At 33.9% G+C, this 17,102-nt stretch overlaps 1 protein-coding gene across 59 annotated transcripts in view; it reads left to right on the top strand.

Moving 5' to 3' along the window:
• Positions 1–17,102, top strand: part of ADGRL3 (adhesion G protein-coupled receptor L3) — an 878,010-nt gene that overhangs the window by 813,147 nt on the left and 47,761 nt on the right. For 25 of the 59 annotated variants that reach the window (NM_001387552.1, NM_001322402.3, NM_001387523.1 and 22 more), the window contains one exon: positions 15,383–15,409. The exons of the other annotated variants lie outside the window; for them this stretch is intronic. In NM_001387552.1, coding sequence (NP_001374481.1) covers positions 15,383–15,409 — 27 coding nt within the window. The remainder of the gene's footprint in view (positions 1–15,382; positions 15,410–17,102) is intronic. 59 annotated transcript variants of the gene reach the window in all.

A 17,102-nucleotide genomic window follows, 5' to 3' on the forward strand; every position in this document is an offset into this window, starting at 1 on the left:
CGGAGGTTGCAGTGAGCCAAGATCACACTGTTGCACTCCAGCCCGGGCAACAAGAGTGAAACTCCATCTCAAAAAAAAAAGAAAGAAAGAAAGAAAGAAATTTGTTGTTATGAATTTAACATGTCTTCAAAAAACGGCCGGGCATGGTGACTTATGCCTGTAATCCTAGCACTTTGGGAGGCTGAGGTGGGCGGATCACGAGATCAAGAGGTCGAGATCATTCTGGCCAATGTGGTGAAACCCTGTCTCTACTAAAAATACAAAAATTAGCTGGGCATGGTGGCGCATGCCTGTAGTCCCAGCAACTCAGGAGGCTGAAGCAGGAGAATCGCTTGAACCCGGAAAGCGGAGGTTTCAGTGAGCCGAGATCGCACCACTGCACTTCAGCCTGGTGACAGAGTGAGATTCTGTCTCAAAAAAAAAAAATTTTTTTTTTGTTTGTTTGTTTTGTTTTTTCTTCAGCATTATTCAGCTACTTCAATATGTGTGTGTGTTTTTTTCAAATCATTAAAGAGGAGAGGGGATATAAGAAAGTAAATGGTCATAGTATCTGGGCTGGTCATGGGGGAAGGTATGAACATGAATTGGGTGATAATGTAGTGAAAAGATGGAGAGACAGAAGAAGAAGAGGTCTAGGAATGTTCAAGTTACCAAAACAAGAAGATAGTAGTAAATAGCTCATGGCAAAACCTCAGAGGATTTGGGGTTTTTACACTGGGGAAATCATGATCTGGTGATGGCACTTCCACCACCTGAGGGATGGGAGAGAACCAATCCTTTGAGTTTGTGTGCTCCTCAGGGAAAGTGCTGCCAGTGGGCAACAATTTCACTTAAAAGCAGTAGGTGACAGAAACACCCAAAAATGAAGTTTAGGGTATAAGGGAATTTGTTGAGTTTGGACCATGAGTTTCAAATTACAGGATATAATTTGTGGGGAGAAAGGGAAATGGTAGAAAATTAGTTGGTCTAGGAAGTATACAAAAATGTCAGAAGAATGGAAGGAATAGCCTATAATACAAGTTTTTTATAATTTTTGTTGCCTAAATTCATTACTTACTATATTCATGCAGTCACTTACAATCTTGGGCAATAGAATCCCACTCATTAGCAATAGAAAAGCCCCATAGATGGGTGAGAACACTACTTCTGCTTTGCTTTAGATACATACACATTCTCCCCAAATTCCAGAAAATACTGTTATACATAAATCTTGAGAATCATGGCTCAAGCTGTTCAATTTTACCACTGTTCGTAAAAGGAGTCTGTAAAATGCTCTATCATTGAAGTTACCACAGATGATCACTGATTAGCAAATTAATCACCACAAAGGTTAGTGGATTACACAAATGGAATGCCTAACGTGTCACCATACTCCAGGTGCTTATCAGTTTCCCCAATTCCAAGCAAATACCTCCCCTTTAAGCAAAACAACAATAAGGTAACAGATTTCAGCTTTTCTCATTCTCCTATTTTTCGGCAGTGGTTTCCAGCAGGAGTGTTACTTGGTTTTAAAATGCTATTTTTTCTTTACCTCATTTGAAAAGTGCTGAAAGTATACAAGTCAGAGTTACCTAAGACAAAAGACTGTATTAAATCATTGGATTTGTAATTAAAATGTGCAGACAGTATAGTGGAGTGTTAAGCATCTTGAGCCGCTCAGTCCTCACTTGAAAATTTCCTAATCTAATTTTCTCTTGGCTGAGAACCAATTGTTGCTGGTTTTCTCCACTACATACAGCTATGTATTCTAAAAAGGTCTGTCATCAAGGTCCCTGGCACTTTTATAAATGTGCTACTTTAGCATGCATTCTGCAATACTCTGGATTGCTGCCTATGGAAGTCGATATTTTAAACCAGATACTTCAATGTGCTAACTCAAAAACCCTCTTTGTTCCGCAACTGAGATTGACAGTCTAAGGCTATAATTTAAAACTATTTAATTATGAGATTAAGATAATAACCCATGAGCATAAAAAGGAACAATTTATTAGCACAAGTATTGACAATATTAGATAATATATTATACATACCAAGATATGACTCAAAAGGTAGCACATTTTCTTTGTAATAGTCATCATCACAGTGCTCTGATTTTTCTGCCTCCATTGAATTTACTGCATCTTGCACAATTAGCTGTGGAAAGGTTTCTAAAATTGCCAGATCTCCCATTCTGTAAGTTTTAATAATGTGCATATCCCTTAATTTTCACAGGGACATTTTAGTAAAACTTGTGTGCCTATTTGTTTCTACTAGATTTTCTCTCTCTCTTCTTTAATGGTTTTCATTTTTTCCACTTTTTTCTGTTAGCTTCCCTTTCCTTTTTCTTTTACTTGCTGATATACATTTTGAATGCTTTTGCTATTACAAATATCTTCTTCAAGTCTGTTACCTCTCTGTTAATTTTTCCTTTTGGTACAAATATAAATAAGTATATAATTTATAATATATAAACTATCAACTTTTTCCTCTAAGGTATACGCTTTCAAAGTCTTTTAACTGAAATCCTTTTAAACTAAGAATTTAAAATTTTATTTTTCCCTTCATTCCCTTTTATTTTCTTTTTTCTTTTCTTTTCTTTTTCTTTTTCTCTTTTTTGAGATGGAGTCTCGCTCTGTCACCAGGCTGGAGTGCAGTGGCCTGATCTCGGCTCACTGAAACCTCCGCCTCTCAGGTTCAAGCGATTCTCCTGCCTCAGCCTCCCGTGTAGCTGGGACTACAGGCACATACTACCATGCCCAGCTAATTTTTGTATTTTTAGTAGAGATGGGGTTTCACCATGTTGACCAGGATGGTCTTCATCTCTTGACCTCATGATCTGCCCCCCTCGGCCTCCCAAAGTGCTGGGATTACAGGCATAAGCCACCACGCCCGTCCTTTTATTTTCTATTCTATATTTTATTTGTCTCAGTTTTACAATTCGTGTTACAATCTTTAATCTCTTTGAAGGATATTTTCCATTTCTTTATGTAATGAGCTAAGTTTCCAACACCATTTGCTAAATAATCCATCCTTTTTCTGAACATTGATGCTACCACAGTATCCTACATTAAATCTGTTTCTGTGCTTTCTCTTCTGTTCCATGGGCATACTTTATGTTTTTCTATCATTACTACAGTATTACTAGAACTTGCTTAATATCTGGTAGGGCGAATCCTCCCATTTTGATCATCTCTTGCAAAACTGTTTTAGCTACTCAGGAATTTTTTTTATTTCTTCACATAAATTTCAGAATCAGTTGTTAAAATTCTTTCAATATGTTTGTCTTTTTTAATTAGAATTACATTAAATATATGGATTATGTTGTAATAACTGGTATCTTTATGAGGTTAAGTCATACCATTCATACACACGTCTATATCTTCTTTTGTTGAGGCCTTCCATTATATCCTTTTATAGGTTTTTAAGATTTTTCTCCATTAATGTCCATTCATTCTTTGCTGGGTTAATTTGTATATAGATTCTTTTTGTTTTGTTGCTATTAGGTATGATATCTAATTTCCCTTTAATTTTTTAGTTTATTATTACTAAGTAAGAAAATATTACTGATTTTTGCATGTTGATCTTATATCTGACAAATGTATTGAACATTATTAAATAGATAGAACAACTTTTCTCTGCACTCATTTGTGTTTTCTATGGAGATGATGATATCATACTTAAATAATAAGTTAAAAATTATCTCTATACTTCTAAGGTTTATACCAGTTATTTATTTATTTTGGTATTTGATTTGGATCGCAATTGAGCAGGTCCCAGGATAACCTACATCCTTACTTGGGTCCTGAAGTTTAAAAATACACATATTGAAGTTTTCCCATTAAATATAATATTTGCTATGAATTTTTTTTTAAAAAATGAATGATTCCACCAAGTTAAGGAAACTACTATATACTAGTTTTCTAAATTGTTTTGTATTTTCTTGAAAAATACTAAAGTTCATAAATAGTTTTTTTTAATTTACTTGGGAGTTTTTTTTTTTTAGACTATTAGACTATGAAGTAAGTGACATGATTGATTTAACTCTCTTTACTGTCTGGAATAAATCTTAATTGATTATGATGTTTATGCACCATTACATTTTGTTATTTAATAGCTTATTTAAGGCTTTTAACTAAGTTCTGAAGTGAAATGTTAGTATAATGTATTGTTTGTACTCTGGTAAGGATATTTTTTTGTCCTGGTAAAGATAGTTTCAGAGGACAAAAAATATATTATAAAAACTTTTATGAGTAGACTCATTCAAGTTTTTCTTGAAAGAATGGAAAGGAGAAGTAGGCCTTCAACCCACTGGCTGTGCTGGAGAAGAAAGCATGGTTCCTTTCTTAAAGAAATCTTCCATGTTTTCTCTAAGTAACCCTTTGTTGAGCATTTAATGTGGACATACCAAAAGTAGAGCTTTGTTTTTTTTGTTTTTTCTTGTTTCTATTTTGAGATGGAGTCTCGCTCTGTCACCCAGGCTGGAGTACAGTGGCGTGATCTTGGCTCACTGCAACCCCCAGCCTCCCGGGTTCAAGTAATTCAAAGTAGAGCATTTTAATGCTAATAAGAGGCTGGCACTTAAGATGAGAGATTCAAAAGAATATAGATTCCTGAAAAATTTCACTGTTTGCAAATTGAGCAGTGCTGCAACATGTACTGCACGGAGGTCATAAAATATAACTAGTTATGGATGACACACTTTAACCTGGTAGGTGCTAGATCTTAATAGACATCCCAAAGGCCAGCAGGTGCTTCCTTGGCTCCCTGTGATGGAGTCTAGGCGTATTAAAAGCAGAGGAAAAGACAGAGCTCTCAAGAGCTTTGTGTTGTGTTCTTACTAGAGTTTGCAGAGCAGTAGGCATCTCAGGATAACAGATTCTTATTGAGTAGATCAGTTAGGAGACTGAGGGTGTCAGGAGAGGAGTCTCTGATATAAGACTCCTGGTTCCCAGAAGAGACTCAGTTTCATTGAAGTAGATACAGATTTAGAGGAGAAAAGACCAAGAGATTTTCAGCATCGCAGTGGTGATTGCAATCACTCAATTATTAATGAAAGTCTGTGCAAGACAAGACCTAGGAATGACCAGATATTTTGTAGGCATAGATGTCAGGAAAAGGCAGAATACTGGCAAGAAATGAGGAAGAGAGAGAGAGAGAAGAACAATATAACTTTCTTGAGTGCGAAGGTGGCAGACAAGTAGGAGCCCAGCTGGGATTGGCGTAGGAAGGACGGAATGCTGACTAGTGTGACCTCATTGCCCCAGCTTTCCTTTCAGAGGAAGGCCTGTCCTGCTGGAACTGGGGCTGAGGGAGGCTGTCTGTGGAAGCAAAAGACTTGGAAGAATTCAGGCACTGGGGGCAGTAGGTACGGTATTTGTAAACAGAAGGTGGTTGATGTAAGCCAAAAGGAGATACCATCCTGATATGCTCTATGAAAGGGAAGATGTGCCTCATGTGTGTGATGCAGCTGGGGTGTGGAAACACTGAAGAGAACAAGATGAAGGAGTTTGCGTAGCAGTGGGCATATGTACAATTTAACACCTGGACTCTTATCAGTGGAGCAGGAAAGTGACTCTGTAACCAACATTAACATTACTTTGGATTTGTAATCAAAATGGTTCTATGATTTATCTCTCACTATTCACAGGTAATTATAACTTCTGGTTTTGTAAGCCCAAGCCATTTTACATTTGCTTTTCTAAATTTGAATTTTTAAATCCTTTATATATATATAAAAGTTTTTCTTTTTTCATTTAGGCCTAATCTAGATTAGAAGAAGAATTATTCGTTGAGTTTTAGGTAGAACTTATTTGCTAAGTGTTGTGGGGCTTGAGGCTTTCTTAGAGAGAGCAGCAAATGGATAATTGTCATGTAGTCATATGCATATATACATATTTTATTAGTTATTGGTATCTAATTTAACTTTATTATCATCAGAGAGTAAACTCCAATTGATGTTAATTCTTAGCACATTTCTGAAGCTGTCATTTGGCTTAGAATATGTTTGATTTAAGATTTTTTATTTTGTGATGTAGCTTTTTATGTATTTATAAAATTTGAATTATTATTTTGTTTAAATGTTCTATAATATTTCTTAATGTTTTTCTCATTGACTTTTTTAAGAAGATTATCTTTCAATTTCTTTTAACAATTTGAATTAGGAATAATTATATCTCATTGGGCTTCTGTATTAAAAGCAGAATTGAGATAGAGCTCTTAAGTAATTAATCAGGTCTGCTCACTGACACAATAATAGCTCTTGTGCAGTAGATGTGCAGTGTAATTTTTTTCAAAATCTTTACAAGAAAAATGACAATGGACATTCACTGTTCCATATAAATGATAAATTCAATAATTCAGAGTATACTTCAAAAGCTTTTACTAATTTATAACTTTTTAAGAACTATCGAATATTCTTTTCTTGAGTCTACTCAACTCTAAAAAGATCCCAGTGAGATTATCTTATTTATTGTGGAGGCGAGAAAACTGAGGCTTATAAAGGATAAGATACTTCCAAAATTAAATAAACCTTGCCTGCTTCCAACTGTGCTGCAGTGCCTTTGATGGTTCAATTTGTTGGAATCTTTAGTTAGTACAGATGTATTTTAAATACTGAGTTGTGCTTTTCTTGTGTTCTAGTTATTCTCCCAAGCAGTTTATAATCTGTTGTTTATTCAATGAATGTTTCTGTTGGAAGTTGGTGAAAAGAGAGGTGAAAATCCCATACAGTATGAAAAAGAATATAACAGAATTTCACCCAGTCAGAGCATGTTTGGCAAGGATTACAAAAAGTTATTAATTTCTTGACTTATTTTACTTAAATTAAAAGTTTGTATATTCTCTTAGTGGAAAAAAGAAATCCTGAGAGTAGGTAATACAGTCCTTAAAGTACTTCATCTCTTTACATTCCAATGACCCTACTTTATCAGCCCCACAGTTATAGGTTCTAAGGAATTCAAGGCTCAATATAAGTAGAAAATACTGGACCTCCAAAAGTGAACCAGGAAACATTGTAAATTTTAATCATAAATATCAATAAGTAAGGTATGTCAACTTGCTAAAAATATTTTATGGATCTTGAAGTGTTACTGACTAAAGTAAGTTTTCACTGATTACAAAATAAAAACAAATATAAATGTGTATATACAGGCATCTTCTCATTTGTTTCATTTTTCCTATTCAAATTTCAAAGTTTTGAAAAGTCATAAGAAAAAAACATTAAACGATCAAATTCTGGAACTTAAATTTCTAATTGAATCTTTAGGAACATTCCACATGTGATGTTATGTCTTATGCTTTATAGTCAAATGATTGCACTTAGTAGAACATTGCCGTCATATAGTGGACTTTTCATCACTAAGGATATAATATGAGTTAAACTTAGATTTCTCATGTAAACTAAAGTACTTTGGTTATCTCTTTTAATGTTCATTAGGAATTTTGGAAATACTTCCATTTCAATTCAGAGTATGAAAATTCATAGCATTTACTAAACTTAAACTAATAATCTAAAAGAAAATGCTACTTTATATAAACTGAGGCCCTTTAAATGTATGTATTAAAGATCAACTCAGAGACAGTGTCTCCTTCATCTTCTTTGTATTTACACTTAATATATAATTTCCAAAATACTTTAAAAAAAAACCTAATACAGAATCGTGTATTTTTTCCTACAACCCCTTTTTTGAGGTCCGAAGGTCAATACACAACAGCAATTATAATAGCAAATATTTATATAGTACTTTTGCACATTAAAGTTTGTATATTTGCATAATTTTGTGTAGCAAATAAAACTACCAAGATCTTTTACTTGATACACACAATGGTCCTGTGAAGGAACTTCAGCATGTATCCCCACTTCACAGAAGAGGGCTATGAGGTGCAATTAGCGAAACATTGCAGAGTTATTAAAATGCTTGGCTGGCATTCAAATTCAGGCAGGCTGGTTTGCACGTCCATGTTTTCAGTCACTGACATAGTGTTTCATACTTTAATATTAATAAATAATCATGGAATGATATTATTATTTTATTCAAACATAAGACTCAAAAATTGCATACAGGCATACCTCATTTTATTGTGCTTCTCTTTTTTGTATTAATACTTCCCAGACATTGCATTTTTTACAAATTGTAAGTTTGTAGCAACTCTATTTCAAGCAAGTCTATCAGTGCCATTTTTCCAACAGCATGTGCTTACTTCATAGATCTATGTCACATTTTGGTAATTCTCACAATATATCAAACTTTTTCATTATTATTATATCTGTTAGGGTTATCTGTGGTTACTGATCTTTGATGTTACTGTTGTAATTATTTTAGGGCCCCATGAACCTCACCCATATAAGACAGCAAACTTAGTCAATAAATGTGTGTGTTCTGACTGTTCCACCGACCAGCTGTTCTTCTGTCTTTTCCTCTGCCTCTCCTTGGGTTCCCCTCTTCCCTGAGACACAGCAATATTGAAATTAGGCCAATTAATAACCCTGCAATGGCTTGTAAGTGTTCAAGTGAAAGAAAGTGTCTCTCACTCTAAATCAAAAGCTAGAAACCATTAAGCTTAGTGAGGAAGGCATGTCGAAAGCTGAGATAGGCTGAAAGCCAATCCTCTTTAACAGTTAGCCAAGTTGTGAATGCAAAGTAAGGTTCTTGAAGGAAATTGAAAGTACTAATCTATTGAACACATGAATAATAAGAAAGCAAAATAGCCTTATTGCCTCAAAAGTTTTAGTGGTCTTGTTAGAAGATCAAACCAATGTCAACAATCTCTAAAGCCAAGCCTAATCCAGTGCAAGGCCCTAACTCTCTTCAGTTCTATGAAGGCTGAGAGAGGTGAGAAAGCTGTAGAAGAAAAGTTTGTTTGAAGGTAGCAGAGGCTGGTTCATGAGATTTAAGGAAAGAAGCCAGCTCCATAACATGGAACTGCAAGATGAAGCAGAGAGTGCTGATGTAGAAGTTGCAGCAAATTATCCAGATGATAGAGCTAAGATCATTGATGAAGGCAGCTACACTAAACAACAGATTTTCCATGTAGACAAAACAGCCTTCTATTGGAACAAGATGCCATCTGGAACTTTATTAGCTAGAGAGAAGAAGTCAATGTCTGGCTTCAAGGCTTCTAATCCTCAAATAATAGACTGACTCTCTTGTTAGGAGATAATGCAACTGGTGAATGTAAGTTGAAGCCAGTGCTTACTATCATTCTGAAAATCCCTAAGAATTATGTTAAATCTACCCTGCCTGTGCTCTATAAATGGAACAACAAAGCCTGCATGACAGCACACCTGTTTACAGCATGGTTTATTGAATACTTTAAGCCCATGTTGAGACCTACTGCTCAGAAAAAAAAAAAAAATTCTTTCAAAATATTACTGATCCCTGACAAGGCACCTTGTCACCCAAGAGCTCTGATAGAGATATACAAGGAGATTAATATTTTTATACCTGCTAACACAACCTCCATTCTGCAGCCCATGGATCAATGAGTAATTTCTCCTTTAAAGTCTTATTACTCAAGAAATAAGTTTTTTAAGGCTATAGTTGCCATAGATAGTGGTTCCTCTGATGGATCTGGACAAACTAAATTGAAAATTGAAAACCTTCTGGAAAGTATTCACTATTCTAGATGTCATTAAGAACATTTGTGATTCATGGGAGGAGTAAAAATGTTAACATCAATAGGATTTTGGAAGAATTTGAGTCCAACCCTTGTGGGTGAATGAGGAGTTCAAGACTTTAGTGGAGGAAATAACTGCAGATGTGGTGGAAATAGCGAGATAACTAGAAGTAGAAGTGGATCCTGAAGATGTGAATAAATTTCTGCAATCTCATCATCAAATTTTAATATGTGAAGAGTTGCTTCTTACAGTTGAGCAAAGAAAGTGGTTTCTTAAGATAGAATCTACTCCTGGTAAAGATGCTGTGCACATTGTTGAAATGACAACAAAGGATTTAGAATATTACATATTTCGTTGAGAAAGCAGCAACAAGGTTTGAGAGGATTGACTTCAGTTTTGAAAGAAGTTCTATTGTGAGTAAAATGCAACCAAACTGCATGACATACTACAGAGAAATCTTTCAGGAAAGGAAGAGTTAATCGATGTGGCAAACTTCACTGTGGTCTTATTTTAAGAAATTTCCATAGCTCCCATAACCCTTAGCAACTCATCACCCTGATCATTCAGCAGCTTTTAACATCCAGACAAGTCTCTCCATCACAAAAATATTAGAACTCGCTGAAGCCTCAGAATATGGTAACTTTTTTTTAACAATAAAGTATTTTTAAATCAAGGTATGTATAGTGTTTTACTCTATTGCGTGCTTAATAGACTACAATATAATGTAAACATAACTTTTATACGCACTGGGAAATCCCCAAATTTGTGACTCACTTTATTGTGATGGTCTGGAACTGAGCCTGCAGTATCTCTCAGGTATGCCTGCATCTTATTTGCATGCAACCTACCAATTCATTTTTGTAAATCTGATAGAGAGGGATACTGAATTCTAATAAGTATTTAATTGTATAAATGAAGTACAACTTAATACTTCATTATTCATTCTCCTTATTGATACCCTTAACTTCTCTCACATATAAATTAATTCTTTGATAGTATTAATATATTGAGTTAAAGAAACTTATATAACATTGACTTGTAGAGGAAACATAATTTGTATAACATTGAGTTGTAGAGAAAATAAAATCTTATCTGTCATTGATCTGATATTTATTGGTCTTAATTTATTATACTCAGTTTTTCCTAATTTCAGACTTAACCTGATTCATAAGCAGCACACAATCTATTATTTAAAGTTTAATATTGGTGTTTTGCCTTCAAATTTGCAATATTGATATGGATCATTGAGTCATAGGGATAAAATATTTATGATATATTCTAAAATGTTTGTGATGTATTCTAAACCATTTATTTTATTTATTTGGTTCATTTCATTCTCCTCTTAATACATTTCCTATGAACAAAACATAGGAATATAGCTTTTGGTAGTAATACTTAAATGGTAATAAAATTCATAGTTGAAATATAATAATCTCTGTCATTTATAATGTTTACATGTATATTATGTGACTTTCATGTTTTTGAAGAATTTTTAATATCTTTAATGCTTATTTATTTATGACCATAGAGAAAAATTATTAATATTTTACTCAGAACCATTGAATTAAATTCTGAATGCCAGGCTGGGCACGGTAGCTCACGCCTGTAATCCCAGCACTTTAAGAGGCCGAGGCGGGCGGATCACAAGGTCAGGAGTTTGAGACCAGTCTGTCCAACATAGTGAAACCCTGTGTCTACTAAAAATACAGAAAATTAGCCTGGTGTGGTGGTATGCGCCTGTATTCCCAGCTACTCAGGAGGCTGAGGCAGGAGAATCGTGTGAACCCGGGAGGTGGAGGTTGCAGTGAGCCGAGATTGTGCCATTGCACTTTAACCCAGGCGACAGTGTGAGACTCCGTCTCAAAAAAAAAAAAAAAAAAAATTCTGAATGCCTTTTATTTTTATTCTTCCTATAGTGATGAACAAAGAACAAATATAATAATATAATTTCAGGATGGTATAGTCCCATCAACATAAGGTACATTTGGAGGAAATATTAAGCTGTCAAGATTTCTATCATAAGTATAACCATTTGATTGAACATTTTTAATGTAATAGAATAAAAGATGAAATGTTTAGATTTTTTTTCTGCTCACTAATCTAGCTATGCTATCTTAAATATCCTTAAACCACTGGGTAGCAGATCACTTACTGCTATTTTAGATATACATTGTAATGTTGCCAAGCTATTCGTGTTATTATATGTCTGACCAACTTAAAACTTTAATAACATATCCCACGTAAAACATTCTTCCTCCACTGCCTGCTAAGATCTGTGACTAGGGGATTAGTATAAGAAAAGTTGTTTCTTCTTTCTACTATTTAATATATTCTGTGAACACTACAATCCTAAAATGGTCTTGTTTGTCCCCTTGCATTTATAAGGACTTGGAGCACCTGGCCTGGTAGTATGGCAAAGCAGTGTCTCTTAGATCAAGTAAAGCTTGTGGAAGTCCTTTATCTCAGGTTACTGCTGGCTCCTTTTCGAATATGGGTAACTGAATCTTCTTAGTCCTCAGTTTGGAGGCCTCGTTGTTGATTGAGGAAAAGCCCACTCAACATACAGATGCGTTAGTATATATTACCTGTTTTTTCTTCTATGAGGAATAGTTTTATCTTGAGAAATCTGTAAGTCACTACTTATAAATGATAAGGTAAACCTATAAGTTCCTCTTAACATCTGCTAAGAACATATTAGGCCTTTGCATCCACATTTTTACAAAATTCTTAAATATACTCCAGTAAAATTGTTTTAGTCATACAACCTGTAACGGTATTTTGTTTAAATGGATTATCATTAGTAAAACATAATAAAAATTATTCAGCTATAGAAACTAGTTCTGTGGATCTGCTTTTTCAAATTAAAAGGAATCAACAGCATGGCAACATTACCATCAATTTAATTTGGATTTGCTAGAGAAAACTATAAAACTAGATTATCTAGGCCAGTAGAATATTTGACAAAAATTATGGAGGGTACTGACATATCCTAGGTAATCTTTAGTGATCTTTAGATTTTAAATCATTATATATTACTTATCTCATTTTTGGGATAAAATAAATGCTTTGTTAATTATTGCACAAATCAAGCCACCGTAAAAAAATTCTAAAATATTGTGCCTTAAACTCTGTTTTGTGAGAGTCTCATAGTAGGCAGTCTAAACCTAATATTTCAGCTCCACATAAATAAGCAGCTTCCATTTTGATGCCTAAGGCTCTGCATCACTTTCTTCTAGTCAAAGGACAGCAGCAAATTGTAAAGAGGAGACCAATTCCAATCCTTTAATTGACAACACCCAGAAATGTCACAGTTCACTTGTGGCCACATCTCTGTGGACGCTACTTCTACATATAACTATAGCAAAGTATAAGTGAAGCTGGAGTTGCTGTTGTCTTTATTAAATGGAGCAACTAAATGGTCCCCACCAGTTGATAAAAACTGCTGAATTGCACCCTGATATCTCTATTTTTTGATATTTCATATTAAAAATAAAAAATATGTCACCTCACCATTGCAAACTTTGTATTTTAATTTTTAAAAACGTTTTTATAGTACAGAGATAGAGAACAAAACACAGGGGCAGGGGAAAGAAATGGGGAGATGTAGGTCAGAGGAAACAAAGTAGCAGATATGGAGGATGAACAAATCTAGAGACATAAGGTACATGAGGGCTATAGGTAATAAAATTGTATTGTGTATGGGATTCACTCTAAATGAGTAGATTTTAGCTGCCCTGCTACAAAAACAAACAAACAAAAAATTGATAACTATGTGAGATGATGGATACATTAATTTGCTTCAATATAGTAACTGTTTTACTATCTACATGTATCCCATAGCATCATGCTGTGTATCCAAGATACACATAATGAAATGTATTTAAAATCTATACAAAGCTTAATTCATTTTGTAGAGCATTTTTGCATGGATGCCTATGTGTCAACCTCTGTAACTTTCTTTTCTTGACATTGTACTATACGAATTAAGGTAGAATTATTCGAATCGTGAACAGGACATCACAGATGGAATATACTGATGCAATGGGAATGCATATAATATAATAAATATCACATTATTATGTTTTATAAATTTTTGATGGTAATATAAGTACAGGATTTTTCTTTCTAGGCCTGTTTCACAGCTGTTAAATACCATCAGTTCTTACAAATTCTTCTCTCTTTATCTTTCACACATCCATGGCATTATTCAAATATCTCTTGGATTTCCGTTTCTTGGCTTAAAACTCTCTTTGAATGTCCCCGTCCAGTACTGACCAATAGAACTTTCTGTGATGATGGACATGTCCATTATGGCAGCTACTATGTGAAGCTTTTGAGTACTTGTGTTGTGACTGATATGACTGAGGAACTGAATTTTAAACTTAATGTCATTTAATGAATGTAAATGTAAATAGCCAGACATGACTAGTGATCACCCCATTGGACGTACAGTTCTAGTCACTCTCTGCTTCGTTTACCAACTTATTTCAGCCACATCTATTTTACTGCATCATATTACTCCTGAAATATCCTTAAATAAATTTACTTACTCAACATTTATGTATTTGGGGTTTTATTCTCTGGATGAGAAATTTTGTATTTTCGGTGTGATTTTACCCTAGCTTTGAATAGTCTAATAATAATAACCGTATATAGTATTCATTGAACACATTTTGTGTTAGACACGGTTCTGAGCATTTTATTCATAATAAATTGTTTCATTATCACAAGAAACTTGCATTATAATTATCACCATCTTATATATGTATAAAAGGACACAACCACAGGTTAATTAATTTTTGTCTAAGATCAAATAGGTAGCTAGTAAGTGGCTGAGCTAGGATGTAAACCTCAGGCAAACTGGCTTCAAATACCATTCTTTATTATTTCATCATTCTGGAGAGTGAGTTTTCATCAGTGGTTCTCTTTATTCAAAATACATCACAGTTGCAGCCTGTCTAGGAGCTTTATTTGTGTATGCATAATATAGGAAACTATCTTGCCTCTGGCAAGAGAGAAGAGAAAGGAACAGTTTCTCTTCTTTCTTTTTCTTATCACAAGCAAAAAATACATTTATAAAAATTGATCCAAAACATTCCTTATCTTCACTAATTGAGTATTAGGATCTTATTTTATCCAAATGATATTAAAAAATTAGTAAACATAAGTGAAAATAAGCAGGCGTTGTATGTTTGTTCCTATTACTACAAAAGATTATTCAGGTTTATCTTACTCAGAACACAAACAGAAAGAGTTTTAAAGTACTCAAGATAGATTATTTTCTAAGGGCTATAATGTTAAGATTTAACTCAGGTCAATCATCTCCAAGTTAAAATTACTTAGAAGCCTACTGTCCATAATTAAGTAATCTTACCTACTAATATTACGGAATAAGAATACCTTTAGGTGACATGAAATCTGTCATTTTAAGCATGCCCCCAAGCCTTTCCAAGATTGCTCATAAAATTTCTTATTCTCTAGAGAAATGTGATCTCTAAGAAATAAATGTCTCTTTCAAGTCACAAGTAATATGAGCACATGATAAAAAAATGGAATTTTGAGTCTTAGAAGGGATATTGCAGTATTATAAAATTGCTTTTATTTCTTGTTATTTAAGTTCTCATGGTCATTTTAGGATTTACCTTCTAGATATAAAGGATAATGATTTCTTTTAGGGAGGTGGGGGACAGAGGCCTTTGGGGACCAGGAGAATATTTTTCATATGAAATTCTTTGTCATAAAATGCTAATGTTGGTGTTCTTGTCTTTATGTCTATGCATTCTTTAGCTATGAGGATAACAGACCCTTCATCAAGTAAGAATGACCTGAATGGCTGATAAATTCCGTTTATCAGTGTGGTCCCATGAACCAGCTGTCAGATCAGTACTGAAAAATCATTAGAGCTTCTGTCATTCACGTAGAGGCAGAAGAGCAAACTGTGCAGGAAAATAATCTGGCATACAACCTATATGCAGAATAAATATGCTGCAGGTGTATTGCCAAAAAAAAATTCTGCTTCACCTCTGTTAATTGGATATCACCTGAATTCAGTGCCACAGCAATAACAATTTCCTGTGGTACAGACTTGTTTCTCTTTTAATAGCTTCCCTTTCATTGTGATGTGTTCCTCTGTGCCACATACGTCCGCTTTTCTGTTGTTTGTTTGGGCATCATTCATCTAAAATTATTGTGTCATTTACTGGTATATCTTCAAAATGATCTTACGGGTATAAAACTACCCAATTGCAATTGATATTAATGAATTGCTATACTAAATATAAATAAAGAAAAAAATGCCTTCTTCAAAATTCATTTTTACATATGCAAAATTATCCCTTTCAAATTTGACACCTGTCACTTGATTAATGATCTAATCTGTATGAATATATTTCAGTGTCTGAAATAAAGCTACAAGTCTGTACTAATCTAACAAATATGAACATAAATGTTAACATTTAGACATTTTTCGGATGCATACTTTAAAATTACAAGTCCTGCAAGAATAAACTAAGATTGGTAACCTATGGGCAACCTTGCTATAGACTTTCAGTTTGTTCTTCTGGTGAAGAGTCCTTTGTTTTCATTTTTCTCCAGTGCCATTTCACTTCTTCATGCTTCTGCTTTCCTTCTTTTGTTGTTTTTTTTTTTTTTTTAGAAATCGGGGCTCATTGCAGTTTTCTACCAATTAACCCTTGGGCCCATCATGTGTTTTCCAGTGGTTAATACCTGACTTAAGTATTTGATCCTATTATTTTGTTTTTAAATCTAAATGGCAATATTGCCTTGATTTAATGGCAATTCTTATTTTTTCTTTTTCCAACGTCCATAAGAAGCTGAGAGCTTTTCCTTGAAAGTTAGTATACTTCTGAATCCAGTTGTAGTATAAAATATTAACACCTAAAATGTTTTGTAATTCATATAAGCAAACATGTAATATGTAATAGCAAAACTCCCTTAGAGATTTTTTATTCAAGAATGTTGATGTTTTCAATTAAACATGTTAAATATAGTGGGCATTTAAAGATGAAATATAGTGGCTGATTGTTATGGGAGAAAAACAGTAAATATTTATAATTATTTTTAATAAGACTTTAATAATTAACTACTTTGGGACCATATCTTTCTTAAGATGCAGTTCTCTCTAAAAAACAAATTGAACTCAGCTTCAGATTATGATAAACATATATGATTTTTCCCCTTCATTTTACAAAGTTTCCATCCCTGTAAATATATCTTCCTAAGTCATTATAGTGGAGGATAATAATCTGCTGGAAAGAAATATGAATTTACCCTATTCAAGGAAGATGTGCTGGGAATAAAGAGGTTGGGCTTATTAGTGTATAGCGATCTCTACTGATTTGGTCCTGTTCTCCCATATACTTGGGAGTTGAGAAGGATTTCATTTCAGTTATGAGTCCCATCTGTTGCAAGAACATTTTATCTTGATATTCAATACATAACTTAACCACAAATATATGAATTTTGTTACCTGCTTATACTCTTGCAA

Source organism: Homo sapiens, chromosome 4 (genome assembly GCF_000001405.40).
Source record: "Homo sapiens chromosome 4, GRCh38.p14 Primary Assembly".
Taxonomy (NCBI): Eukaryota; Metazoa; Chordata; class Mammalia; order Primates; family Hominidae; genus Homo; species Homo sapiens.